Below are 12,962 nucleotides of genomic sequence, written 5' to 3'. Positions count from 1 at the left end.
AACCCGGAAGGTGGAGGTTCCACCAGCCTGGGCGACAGAGCAAGACTCCTCCCAAAAAAAAAAAAAAAAAACTTTTATCCAAGACTCATTGACAAAATGTTTTTGAAAATGTCTCTTTTCTCACAAAATAGCCCAAAATCAAGAGACTGAATTTTAGCAAACATATTTAATAGGAGAAAAGCAGCATTGCCTCTATTTCCCTTTTATTTTTAATAAAGTTTACAATTAATTTTTAATCTCTAACACATTTATACGCCTCAAATATAAAAAGAAAAAGAGATACACTAAGAGGCTTTATTCCCACTGCTACCCAAATCTAACCTGTTCCTATTACCTCCTACAAATGACTTTTTTTTTTTTTTGAGACGGAGTCTCCCCGTCACCCAGGCTGGAGTGCAATGGCACGATCTCAGCTCACTGCAGCCTCTGCCTCCTGGGTTCAAGTGATTCTCCTGCCTCAGCCTCCCAAGTAACTGGGAATACAGGTGCACACCACCATACCCAGCTAATTTTTTGTATCTTCAGTAGACATGGGGTTTCACCATATTGCTCGGTCTGGTCTCAAACCCCTGACCTCGTGATCCGCCCTCTTAGGCCTCCCACAAATGACTATTCATTGTTTCTCTTTATACTGTTTGTTTTGCAAATACAGGCAAATGCATATATAAATTTTTATATCCTCCTCCTCTTGTAAAAGGAAGTATAATATATATTGTTCTGCACCTTATAAACCAGTATCCCATTAATATGCTTCAAACTTAATTTCAATACATATTTTTTTGGAGCCTAGGTATAACAGTAAAGAAACTTCGACTGAGTTATTCTTGCTACATCCTCCAACGACTCATAATTATGCCCCACAACTCTCTATGGTTCACCTCCTTAGCGGTTCAAAGGAAACACAGTGGTTAAAAAAAAAAAAAAAAACTCTCTAAGGCTGAAAAAAACAGAAGTTACTAGTATTCCTTCCAGTTCAGAAACATTATTGACAAGCAAAAGGGGGGAAAAAAAGGAAGGAAAAAAACGTTAAAAAAAATCAGCAAATAGTTGGGAAAAAACATGGAAGAGATTATAGCTATAGTAAGTGTTTCTAATAACTGTACAAGCAACTAACTGAATCACTTACTTGGCTAACACTTTGGTGTGAGTATTGATGACATTCAAAGCTTCCTTGAAACTTCCATTCTGGATAAGGCATACCACTTTACAATGCAGGGCAGTTACGTCATCTTTGTTGATCTGTAGTACTAGAGAACAATTTTAGGAAAAGTCATTTTTAAATCCATTTCCTTTTCACATTTTTACTAAATTTTCCCACCCTGTCTCTCCGAAAGCTAAATTTCTACTTTTATTGCAACAGAAATAATTGGTCAGAACAACTGGAAGAAACAGCAACAAAACAAAACAAACCCAGAAAACAACTAATCTTTGCTTTTAACTTAAGAAGTGACAATAAGGAGAGTTATAGATTAAATTTTCAATGAGATAAAGATTCCCAATATACATGTACCAAAAAAGTGCAGTGAAATAAAGAAGAAAGAAGCAATTTCTCCAGATATTTCATCTTGAAATGCATGCTACATTCTACATAGTTCATTACTTCACAGGGAAAAAGTTCAGGTAGAATTTGGAAGCAAATGACCTAGGTTTGGTGCAAGCTTGCCACTAAATGCTTTGAGGTATTGGGCATATCACTTAACAGCCAAATCTCAGTTTTCTTAGCTACAAAATGATTAGAAAAGCATTACCTATTTAATAAGGTTACTGACAATATGAAATGAATATTTTGGAAAAATCTTATAAAGTATAATACAAAGGCAATTTATCTTGCTGGCAACGTTTCCAAAAATCATTAAAATTTCCCCTTTTCAACTAAGATGACCAAAGTATAAGGAAGAACTCAGGTGGCAAGTTTCAACGCTAACAACTGTTCGGTGTTAAAATGACCAGGATCATAGTTACTCTTGCTCCTGTGCAACTACAGAAGTCCAATTCTCAAAGAATCACAAGAATTTCTACCAATTAAGAAAACATACTGGTAAACAAGTTGACAATCTTTGCTGATTAAAGAATTCCTGCAAAATACTATACTAAGTATACAGTACTGGTTGGAAGGCTAGAGTTAATTCAAACAAATTTAGGGATCAAATAATTCTAATTCGTAGCTATTTTCCTCAATGTCTGAAATCACCAAAAGTGCACTGTGGGCACAATCACTACTTTTCACGTTAACCCAGTACTAGAGTGTTGAAAATTACTTAGATAGCTTTGCATGTTACTGACACACCTTTTAGGTTACTGCTACTCTGAACAGCTAAGCCCTGCCTTGGTAATTACATTTCCAAATCTAACATGCACAGGCTGTATCTTCAGTAGAGAAGAACTGCGCACCACCGAGAACATTAAGCAGCATGGCCATATTCCAGGTATGTAGTAAGGAACAAAAGAATATGATGAATTAAACCTCACACCAAAGGCGGTAAAAACCGAAATCATCCCTTACAGGGCAAAAAAACAGGCCAAACTTTTCTTCCGACATTATTTCAAGTGTTGGTGCTTCCACACACATATTTCCTAACTTAATAACACTGAAGAGATCTCATCTATGGGAATGACAGGCCTGACATCCAGATCCAGCCCTTTCCTCTCGCCCCGTAGAACCCGTACAGCTTCCACCTGGTTAGCACCAGCCTCTAAACTACGTGTCCCAAGCAGGTTCCTCCCCCTTTAGCGGCCAAAGAGAACAAGCTCCCTCAGCAATAGAGTCCTGATCACTGCGCTCAAGACGAAGAAGAAAAGGAGGCACTTTGGAATATTTGTGAAATAAAGCAGCAAAGGAGTCAAATAAGAAAACAGTTTGAAATGGACTCCGGGAGCTGCGGTCTCTTTAAAACCTTCCCTCGCTTCCCGCGGAGGGTAAAAAGAGAAGTACACGTGGCTGTAAGCAACCAGGGACCCCAGGCTGGCCTGGTGAAGCCGAGGAGTGAGACCTGCGTCTTCCGGGCGCTAGGGCCCGAGCCGGGCGGACAATAGACGGGGGGGTTTCGGGGGTCTCCCCTTCCCGTGCCTCCCGCGCGAGGTGGTCTCGCGCGCCGGAAACAGGCCGCATCCTCCAGCCGGCCTGGGCCCGCCCCAGTGCCCACCCCGACACTTACTCTTATTGACGGTCTTGAGAGCGCGCGTGAAGTCGCCGTTCTGGCCATACCGGTTCACTTCACTCCACAGCGCAGGTACTGACACCCCCCCGCTGCCGCCGCTCGCCATCTTGGAGGAGACGAGGGGCGGGGCGGGGAGACCTCTGCCCCGGAACAGGATCTCCGAGGCAGCCAAGAGGAGGAGGAAGTCGATGATTGCTAAGCGTCGCCGAGTTGGGAGTGTCTTCAGCCCTAAGGCAGCATCAGAGATCATAATCTTCTGCTCTCGTGGCAAGAAATTTGTGCGGATAGAGTTGATACACCTCACTTGAAGTTGGCCTGGAGAAAAGAGGCGTCGGACTCCTGGACGGGGTTGGGAAACGGTCACCAGTTTCGGCTCAAAGCAGCCTGTTTCCAGGAGACCGCCATGGTCGAGGCAGCGTCCTGGTCCCACGGTGCGGGGCCGGACGATCATTTATGGGATATAAATAAAAGGACTATGAGGTGGTAAATAAAAGACTACCAACTAGAAGCCATAGGGAGTCATTTGAAGGAGAAATAGGCACGGCTCATCTGTGGTTGAGGGAAAGGGATCTTGAAAGATGATTAGGAGAACTTGGGTTCTGGGGAAAGTGCGGGAAGACATTCTGGCAGAGAAGCAAACGTGAGGAAAGGTAAGAAGGCAAGAATCTCCCATTACAAAGGGTTTGGTGAAACCCTTTGCCTGTCCTTTTCGCTCCCTTCGGGAGCAGTCGGCAATAAGCTGGAAGGGTAATGGGGTGAAAATGCCCGTGGTCAGTTCCCTGGCTCTGCGACTCACTAGATGTCTGACAATAAACAAGTTACTTAGCTTCTGGGAGTCTGTTTTCCCGATTGTGAAATGGGGATACTATATTTGTTCTAGAGATATAAAATATTAGGGTTTGCTTGCGACCGTTAATATCAAGATGTGTTCAGATGTACGAAGGGAATGGATATCTGTTGGGTACACTTGATGTGAGTGATTTTTTTTTTTTTTTGAGACGGGGATCTTGCCGTGTTGCCCAAGCTGGTCTGGAACTCCTGGGCTCAAGCAATCCTCCCACCACAGCCTCCCCAAGTGCTGGGATTACAGGCATGAGCCACCACACCAAGACGATGTGAGTGATTCACTTGATGTGAATGTTGTATTTCATTGAATGGCCTGCTCTTCAGACTCATATCTCGTCATGACCTTTACAACTTCTACTACTTCCTGTGTCCCTCAGGAACCTAGCTTTTTTTTTTTTTTTTTTTTTTTTTTTTTGAGACGTAGTCTAGCTCTGTGACCCAGGATGAACCTCACTGCAATCTCCACCTCCTGGGTTAAAGCGATTCTTTTGCCTCAGCCTCCCAAGTAGCATGAGCCACCACGCCCGGTTAATTTTTGAATTTTTAGTAGAGATGGGGTTTCACTGTGTTGGCCAAGCTGGTCTCAAACTCCTGACCTCAAGTGATCCGCCCTCTCTCAGCCTCCCAAAGTACAGGGATTACAGGCGTAAGCCACCGTGCCCGGCCTTGCTAACTACTTTTTGTCTTTCAGTCTTTCTGGTTATACGTTGAAAGTTACTTTGAGGAAACATTTGATCTTGCAGACTGGGCAGCCTTCTGGTTGCATCCTCTTAGAACAGGGGTCCCCAACCCTTGTACTGGTCTGCAGCCTGTTAGGAACCGGGCGGCACAGCAGTAGGTGATCGGTGGGCCAGTGAGCAGTACCGCCTGAGCTCCTGTCAGATCAGCTGTGATATTAGCTTCTCACAGCTCAAACCCTATTGTGAACTGGGAATGTGAAGGATCTAGGTTGCTCACTCCTTAAGAGAATCTAATGGGAAATGTAATGAGCTTGAATCATACTGAAACCAGCTGTCCAACTCCTGTGGAAAGATTGTCTTCCCTGAAACCGGTCCCTGGTGCCAAAAAGGTTGGGAGACTCCCTATAGGACTCCACTTCTGAGCACTGATAATTAAGGGTTATCTCACTCTGTATGGACTATAGTTCTGAGGCCAAGGAACCATATTTACCTTGCTCACTGCAGTATCCCTAGGATCTAGCATACTGCCTGGCACATAGTTGGCATTTTTTGTTTCACATTCCTTGCCTAATCTTGAGTTCCTTGAGGGCAGAAACTGCCCAGCTCCTGATATGGCATATGGTGCCCTGCCATATTTTTGTCTGGTCCTTCCAGTATATACAATGCAAAGAGCATGAAAGGTGGCTTGAACTCTAGGTGCTGGAGGGTGTAATTCTTGTGAATTAGTAAAAATCATGAGAAGAGCTTTAGACTTTTACTGACTAGAATTGTCACAGGTTTCAAGCCAGTTATGTTTAGATTTCAGGGGGTGGGGGCTCCAGATGACATGGTATACCCAAAATGTTGTGTGAGAAAATTGGGTATACCCAAAATTTTGTTGTATTTTGTTATTCTGAGAAAATGTAGATTCCACTGTATTCTCCAAAGGTGTTTATATCCACCATCCCCTCCCAAAAGTTAAGAGCCACTGTCCTAGTAGTACTTTTTAGAACATTGACTTTATATAAGAATTGGCAATTTTCGTTTCTATATCATTCTAATCCTATATACTTTGTAGCTTTTAGAAATGCTCAGAATTCTGCTGCTGTGGACTTGTTTCTATTTCTTATGTCATTTTAATGGAGTTTTGTGGCAAACAGCCTATAAATATGGGGCTTAACCTGCCATTTTTGAAACAGGAATCTTCCAAACCATAGTGGTGTTTTGTTTTTTTTTTTTTAAATAACAAATTTACATCTCACATTGTGAAGGATGGAAAGATTGTCTGGTGAGGGGCCACTCTGATTCATAGATGGCATCTTCTGTTTTCACATGGTGGGAAAAAAACCAGACTGATCTCTTAAAGCATGTATCTGATGCCACTTTCCTACCCTCACGATAAAATCCGAACTCCAAAGAAGAGCAGTAAGAGCTTTTGTGATCTGGCCTCTGCTTGCCACCTCCCCAACTCACATAGGTCTCTATACTTATTTCCTAGCCCCCTTGCATGCTATTCACCTCTAACTTCCATGTAGTTATGTGTCCCCCTACCTCCTGGAATTTGCATTTTTATTCATCTGACAAGTGTTTGTCTTGTATATGCCAGTGCCGTGTATTACACCAGTTGCTGTGATACAGCTGACAACAAAGAAGACAGCCCAGTGTAATACATTTATTTTCTAGTTGGGAGAGATGGGTAATAAATAAACATGTACTATGTTTGGTGGTAATAAGTTTGCTGAAGAAAATTATGGAAAGGTAAGAGAGATTGAGTATAGACTGTGGAGAATTAGTCTTTTTCATTCACAGTATACAATTGTTTTCTAGAGATCAGAGTCCTTCCTACTTTTGTGTATTCACAATACCCTATTGTTAATTCCATATTAAGACTATATACGGTGTTTTGAAATTGTCTGCCTCTGGAGACTTCCAAGATTCATTGAGAGCAGAAGGTTAATTTTGTTCATCTTTGCATTCCCAGGGTCTTATATATACATAATAGGCTGTATTTGTTCTCTAAAAAATACAGAACCAATAGGATATGTACAGATTATGAGAAATTGGCTCTGCAAAATGGAGGTGAAGTCCCACAGTCTGCCTTCTGCAGGCTGAAGGCCCAGGAAAGCCAGTGTAGTTCCAAACCCGAGGGCTTGAGAATCAGGGGAGGCAATAACGTTAAGTCCTAGTCTGAAGGCCTGAGGACCAGGAGCACCAACATCTGGGGGCACGAAATGGATGTCCCAGCAGTTCACCCTTCTTCCCCTTTTTTGTTCTATTCAGGCCCTCAATGGATTAGATGACGCTCACCCACATGGGTGAAGGCAGTCTTCTTTACTCAAGTCTACTGATTCAAGTGCTAGTCTCTTCCAGAAACACCATCACAGATGTACCTAGAAATGTTGTTTGACCAGCTATCAAGGCATCCCGTAGCCTAGTCAAGTTGACAGAATTAGCCATCTCATCAGTATCCACAATGTATTTTTATATTAATGGATTTAGCCTGAGAAGCTTCCATGTACAGTATCTTTTTTTTTTTTTTTTTGGCGACAGATTTTCGCTCTTGTTGCCCAGGCTGGAGTGCAATGGTTCGATCTCAGCTCACCACAACCTCTGCCTTCCAGGTTCAAGCGATTCTCCTGCCTCAGCCTCCCGAGTAGTTGGAATTATAGGCATGCACCACCATGCCTGGCTAATTTTGTATTTTTAGTAAAGAGGGGGTTTCTCCATGTCAGTCAGGCTGGTCTTGAACTCCCGACCTCAGGTGATCTGCCCACCTCACCCTCCCAAAGTGCTGGGATTACAGGCGTGAGCCACTGCACCCAGCCTCATGTACAGTATCTTATGGTATCTTGTCAACTCAGAGGCAAGCAGAAGAAATAAGACGTGAGCCACCGCGCCCAGCCTCATGTACAGTATCTTATGGTATCTTATCAACTCAGAGGCAAGCAGAAGAAATATTTAGCTCCATTTTATAACTTGATTTCCATTCCACTATTTTCATTGTACTGCAATGTGAGATTAACAATTCCACCCCAAGTATTTGAGGTGTGGGAAGCTGGATGTAAAAACACCATTAAAAACAACTCTTTTCAATGGCTTTCTAAGGTTGGCTGGGCTGAAATGGCAGGTTGTGGATGCTCCGTGGCACATCACACTGCCCCTTTCTTCATATTAGAAATTAAATCAGCCGATGGCAATATTGAATTCCAGGTAATTTTCTTTCTTTCTTTTTTTTTGAAACAGAGTTTTGCTCTTGTTGCCCAGGCTGGAGTACAATGGCGCAACCTCGGCTCACCACAACCTCCGCTTCCCAGGTTCAAGCGATTCTCCTGCCTCAGCCTCCTGAGTCGCTGGGATTACAGGAATGTGCCACCATGCCCGGCTAGTTTTGTATTTTTATTAGAGACTGGGTTTCTCCATGTTGGTCAGGCTGGTCTCGAACTCCTGATCTCAGGTGATCCACCTGCCTCGGCCACCCAAAGTGCTGGGATTACAGGCATGAGCTACCATGCCCAGAGAATTCCAGGTAATTCTCATGGTGAATGAATTCCATTCATACTGTTGTTCTTCAGTCTGCCAAATGGATATTACATAACACATTTGTGTGCCATGATGGGCCTTACATATATTGACTCATGTAATTCTCACAACTTTATGAGGTGGTATTAGTCGCATTTTCATTTCATGAAATTGAGGCACAAAAAAATTAGACATGTTGAAGATCATACATCATCCCTCACCTGGGCTACAATAGCCTCTTAACTAATCTCTGCTTCTCCTCTTGTCCACACAACAGCCAGAGAACCTTTAAATATGTTAAGTATGTCAAGCCTCTGCTCAAACTGAGTTTTTCCTGTCACACTTCAGTGTGGCCTATAGGCCCTAAGTGATGTAGCCTTTGCTTATATTGTCTTCCACTCTCATCCTTGTTCACAGAGCTCTAGCAATTCTCATGTTTGGAGGTCCTCAAGGCAAAACTCAGCTTTATTTCCCATTCCCTTAGTATGGAAAGCTATTTCCCTATCTGTGTGTCTTGCTTTTACATCATTGCTCTGCTCTCCTCAAAAACCTTCCCCTCTTATCCCCATCACCGTCCTCATTTTGATTCTTCATATACATTTATCCTTTCCTGATTTTATACTGTTTACCTTTTTATGGTTTGTTTTCCCCTCTAAAACATAAGTTCCATCTGGACAAGGGCTTTGCTCAGTCCTATTTTCCTAGGCCCTAGAATCAAACCAGTATTGGGTGAATGGATACTGAATGAAGCTTTACCTAAGTGCTTTGTCTTTTACTTAGTTTCAGTGGTTAAATCTCAGAAAGCTTAACAGCAATTCTAAGCATGTCTTTATCATAAAAGGTTAAAAACTGTATTATTGGGATATTTTTTCTCTTTTTATGTTTACCTACAAGCCCGTAGAAAGTATAAATACTCAAAAGATAGCAGACCAGGTAGGCTTAAGTTACTTTTACAAAACAGTAGAAATACCTTCAAATATTTAGCACTGATGAACTTACTACTGAGGACATGTGGACTCTACTAAGAAACTAATGATGAAATTCATAATTGGGTGTGGTAGCACATGCACCCAGCTACTCGAGAGGCTGCAGCTTGAGTCCAGGAGTTCAAGGCTGCAGGGAGCCATAATCATGCCACTGCACTCCAGCCTGGGAGACAGTGAGAACTTGGCTCTTAAAAAAAAAAAGGAAAAAAAATTGATAACGACAATTTGTAATGGTCAGTCCTATCCACCAGTCTAAATGAAAGTTTAAAAATTTTCATATACTGCACAGAAGTAGATGGAGTCTTAATGCTAGGTAAGGGTAAACAAGCTGAAATAGCAGTCAGTGACTTCAGAGACCATGAAACCAAAGTTAATCTTCTAAGTCCTTTTAATTGTTCTTATAAACTAGCATAAGATATAAACTTAAGTAGTACACATGAGTTTTATAATTTACTAATCTCTGACAGATAGCTAAGCATAGCACATCAGAGCATAACACAGTGTGAGGGAAATAAAGTGTACAATGACATCTTCTATTCTGGACCTAATAATTCAATAGAGAAAGAACTACTTGTAGTCACTGTGGTTACAGAAGGTTTCATGGACAGCGAACATAAAGCTCTACTAGCTAACAAATAGGTCTTAATGATAAAAACGTGGGCCTTCAGAGAACTAAAGGTACCAATGTGTGGCAGTCCAAAATTACGAGGAAAATGAGTTCCCTTCATGGGTCACATCAGCAATTTTTTTTTTCCCCTTTTGAGACAGAGTCTTGCTCTGCTGCCCAGGTTGGAGTGCAGTGGCATGATCTAGGCTCACTGCAACCTCCGCCTCCCGGGTTCAAGCAATTCTCATGCCTCAGCCTCCCGAGTAGCTGGGATTACAGGTGCCTGTCATCACGGCTGGCTACTTTTTGTATTTTTAGTAGAGACAGGGTTTCACCATGTTGGCCAGGCTGGTCTCAAACTCCTGACCTCAAGTGATCTGCTTGCTTCAGCCTCCCGAAGTGCTGTGATCGTAGGTGTGAGCCACTGTGCCCAGCTACCTCATCAATTCTTAATCTATAAACCATGGATAGGCTTCGGGAGAACCCAAGAACCAATGAAATCTGTTGGTAAGTTTTATGTGTGCGGTTTTCTACAGAGAGGGTCAACAGCATGTATATTTTCAAAGAAGTCTGTGGTGCAAAAGAGAGTTTATTGTTAGAAGTCCTTGGGCAATCAACTTGGAAAAGGGTGGATTGAGAATGGGGGCTGTCTAGATCAGGATAATGTTGAATTTGACCCTCACTTGAGGCTTTTGTACAGAGGATGAGAAGACGGTAAATTCAAGGGTTAATCAGAAATTAACACCAACATGACTTGGTGATGAGTGAGATGTGAAACGTGAGAAAAACATCAATGATGAAATCAAGCTTCTGACTTGCAACAGTGAGTATACCAAGAGCTACAGGCTTGGAAGATGAATAAAGTTGGGAGCATTCTGTTTTTTCATGAGTGCCCATGGGACAGACAGGGAGAAATGGACAGTTGAAAGTACAAGTCTAGACAGGCACAGTGGCTCATGTCTGTAACCCTAGCACTTTGGGAGGCTGAGATAGGAGAATTACTAGGGTTCAGGAGTTTGAGACGAACCTGGGTGACATAGTGAGAGCTCATCTCTACAAAAAATAAAATTAGCTCGGCATGGTGCTGCAAGATTATAGTCCCTGTTAGTCGAGAGGCTGAGGTGGGAGAACTGCTTGAGCCCAGGAGGGAAAGCAGCAGTGAACTGAGATCACGCCACTGCACTCCAGCCTGGGCGACAGTGAGACCCTGTCTCAAAAAAAAAAAAAAAAATGCAAGTCTGGAGAAATATAGCTGGGAGTCAGTAATGCCAGTTTTAGCTGAGGGAGTTAAGATCATTTAATCAGTGTTAAGGAAGAAACTCAATAGTAGTGACCACCAATACTTAAGGAAAAAGGATAAAGTAAGAGGAATGATAAAGGCTGGCTGAAATATCTTGGTGTCTAGCCTAAGAAAGGAGGGGTTAGATGCTCATGTTTATTAATATGGATCTAGAGAAGCATTTATTCACTAATACATTTTATTTGTGTTCTCTAATTTAAAATTACCTTTTCATCTTGCTTGATTTTCCTTCAGCTAAATTAGAAATTTGTAGTTTTTCCCCTAAAAAATTCAATGGCATTCTTTCTTATAAATTACATTCTCTGATTTTCTTGTCAGCCTGCTTCAAGGAAATCCATGTGTTCAAAATGCTTGCTCGCAGTTTGCTCCATACCAAATGGTTGCTTAACCCAAATATCTGAGCAGCAAATTGAGCTGATCCTTCTGGAGAAAGTACGGTTGAACAGCCAAGACCTATTGGTTCAGCAAGGAAAAGACAGAAAATTGAGCTCAATTAGTAATGAAAATACAACCTTACAAAAAATTTTATACTCAGAGCAGTCCTGCCACAGAAAATAAAAAGCTACTGCATTATTCTAATCTAAAGTAGAATCTGTACAACTGTCTTTAATACCGGAGTGGTAAAGTGATTACAAGAGGAAAAGCAGTCAGTATTACCTGCCATGAAGAGATATTTTATATATATCATCTATCACCCTTCTTATAGAACTCACTTACAAAGAAACTTATCTTTTTGAAACTTCTGTTCACATACACTATCCCTTTCAATCCCTGGCGAAGAACAACTGAAGCAAAATAAGGGTCAAGGTAAGAGTACAAAAGTACCTGTTCTTAGACAAACTTGAGCTATGTTGTTTTGACAGTTTTCTAGCTAATCTTTCTATCTGCATTTGAACTATTTTAATATTTTTGAGCAGTAAAAGTCAAATCCGTAGAATAATTTTAGGAAATGTCAAGTTATAAATAAATATTAATAAGATCCAAGACAGCAGAATAAAAAAGTAACATCCTAGGGGCCACATGTCTGCTCAGGCAGAGTGTCTTGAGGTGGTACTATTATGTCTAGTGTTTGCTAGAATCAGGGGTACTATTATGTCTAGTGTTTGCTATAGTTCCAAAAGCTCGATTTTCCCGATATTCTTGGAATTCATCAGGCTCTTTGACTCCCATTATCCACAAGAACAGAGTCAAATACAAATCACAAGGCCAATTTACTAATTTGTATTAATACGTTATTTTATGGAGCTCCACCCCTTAATATGTGGTATTGGTCAAGTTACTTCACGTTAATTTATTCTCCTCTTCTGTGAGAAGGGAATTTTAACTAGTAGCTACCTGATGTGACACTTCAATGAGTTAATAACATAGATAAAGTGCTTAGAGCATTGCCTGGTACACAGTATGTGCTCCAAGAATGTCAACCACTATTGTTAGCACGCTAGGTAGAGTGCTCCACTCTAATATTTGAAATAACCTGTGCCTCCTGCCCAGGACTCCCTTTCTGGTAAAAGAATAGCTTAAATTGCAGAAAAAAAAAAAAAAGTTATCTAGTGAGCATGACATCAGAGATGAGAAATATGGGCGGTCTTCAGGATTTTACACAGGTTACTGTAAAACTACTCCTCAAAAGATTATCCCCAATTCTAGTGATCATTATGTACAAGTCTTCCAGATTATTTGTCACTCCTGAAACAACACTACTATAAAAACTGCCAATTTTTTGCTTATCATGCTCCCCTTTTGTAAGCTCCATGGGTATCTATACAATTCCTCTGGCATAAATTTGGTTACAGCTTTATTTGTAGCCGCTGATTTTTAGCTTGAGACATTTGTATAATCACATCTTGTTAAAGATAGCTTAGGCACAAAATTTAATTCTCAGAGCCT

The 12,962-nt window shown here is 41.5% G+C and overlaps 2 protein-coding genes and 1 long non-coding RNA gene across 14 annotated transcripts in view, besides 2 other annotated features; 1 reads left to right on the top strand and 2 right to left on the bottom strand.

Moving 5' to 3' along the window:
- SRP72 (signal recognition particle 72) overlaps positions 1-3,283 on the bottom strand; it is a 36,065-nt gene extending 32,782 nt beyond the window's left edge. For all 4 annotated transcript variants that reach the window (NR_151856.2, NM_006947.4, NM_001267722.2 and 1 more), the window contains exons 1-2: positions 3,156-3,283; positions 1,127-1,247 (exon numbers count right to left, since the gene is read on the bottom strand). Coding sequence is in view for 3 of the 4 variants with exons in the window: in NM_006947.4 (NP_008878.3) it covers positions 1,127-1,247; positions 3,156-3,264 (230 nt within the window). In the remaining variant the exon portion in view is untranslated. The remainder of the gene's footprint in view (positions 1-1,126; positions 1,248-3,155) is intronic.
- Positions 3,229-3,438: an enhancer, noted in NCBI's record as "active region_21580". NCBI's record gives its function as "activates an Ori minimal core promoter by ATAC-STARR-seq in GM12878 lymphoblastoid cells {active_cell/tissue: GM12878}" and the evidence as "EXISTENCE:reporter gene assay evidence [ECO:0000049][PMID:35858748]".
- Positions 3,342-9,590, top strand: LOC124900706 (uncharacterized). The gene is made up of 2 exons (XR_007058126.1): positions 3,342-3,808; positions 7,907-9,590. It is a non-coding gene; the product is annotated as an uncharacterized LOC124900706 (long non-coding RNA).
- The window catches only part of PAICS (phosphoribosylaminoimidazole carboxylase and phosphoribosylaminoimidazolesuccinocarboxamide synthase), a 54,072-nt gene continuing 47,431 nt past the window's right edge, over positions 6,322-12,962 (bottom strand). For 6 of the 9 annotated variants that reach the window (XM_047449527.1, NM_006452.4, XM_047449530.1 and 3 more), the window contains one exon: positions 6,322-11,528. In XM_047449527.1, the coding sequence (XP_047305483.1) occupies positions 11,362-11,528 (167 nt within the window). In that variant the 3' untranslated portion in view covers positions 6,322-11,361. The remainder of the gene's footprint in view (positions 11,529-12,962) is intronic. The other 3 variants (NM_001392010.1, NM_001392011.1, NM_001392012.1) reach the window with 1 other exon arrangement.
- Positions 10,703-11,902: an enhancer, noted in NCBI's record as "MED14-independent group 3 enhancer chr4:57325164-57326363 (GRCh37/hg19 assembly coordinates)". NCBI's record gives its function as "activates an origin of replication core promoter dependent on BRD2, BRD4, P300/CBP and CDK7 cofactors, and independent of MED14, by STARR-seq in HCT116 cells {active_cell/tissue: HCT116}" and the evidence as "EXISTENCE:reporter gene assay evidence [ECO:0000049][PMID:35650434]".

This window comes from Homo sapiens, chromosome 4 (genome assembly GCF_000001405.40).
Source record: "Homo sapiens chromosome 4, GRCh38.p14 Primary Assembly".
NCBI classification, from domain to species: Eukaryota; Metazoa; Chordata; class Mammalia; order Primates; family Hominidae; genus Homo; species Homo sapiens.
The sequence above is the reverse complement of the archived record's forward strand: the minus strand, read 5'-3'. Positions and strand labels throughout refer to the sequence as shown.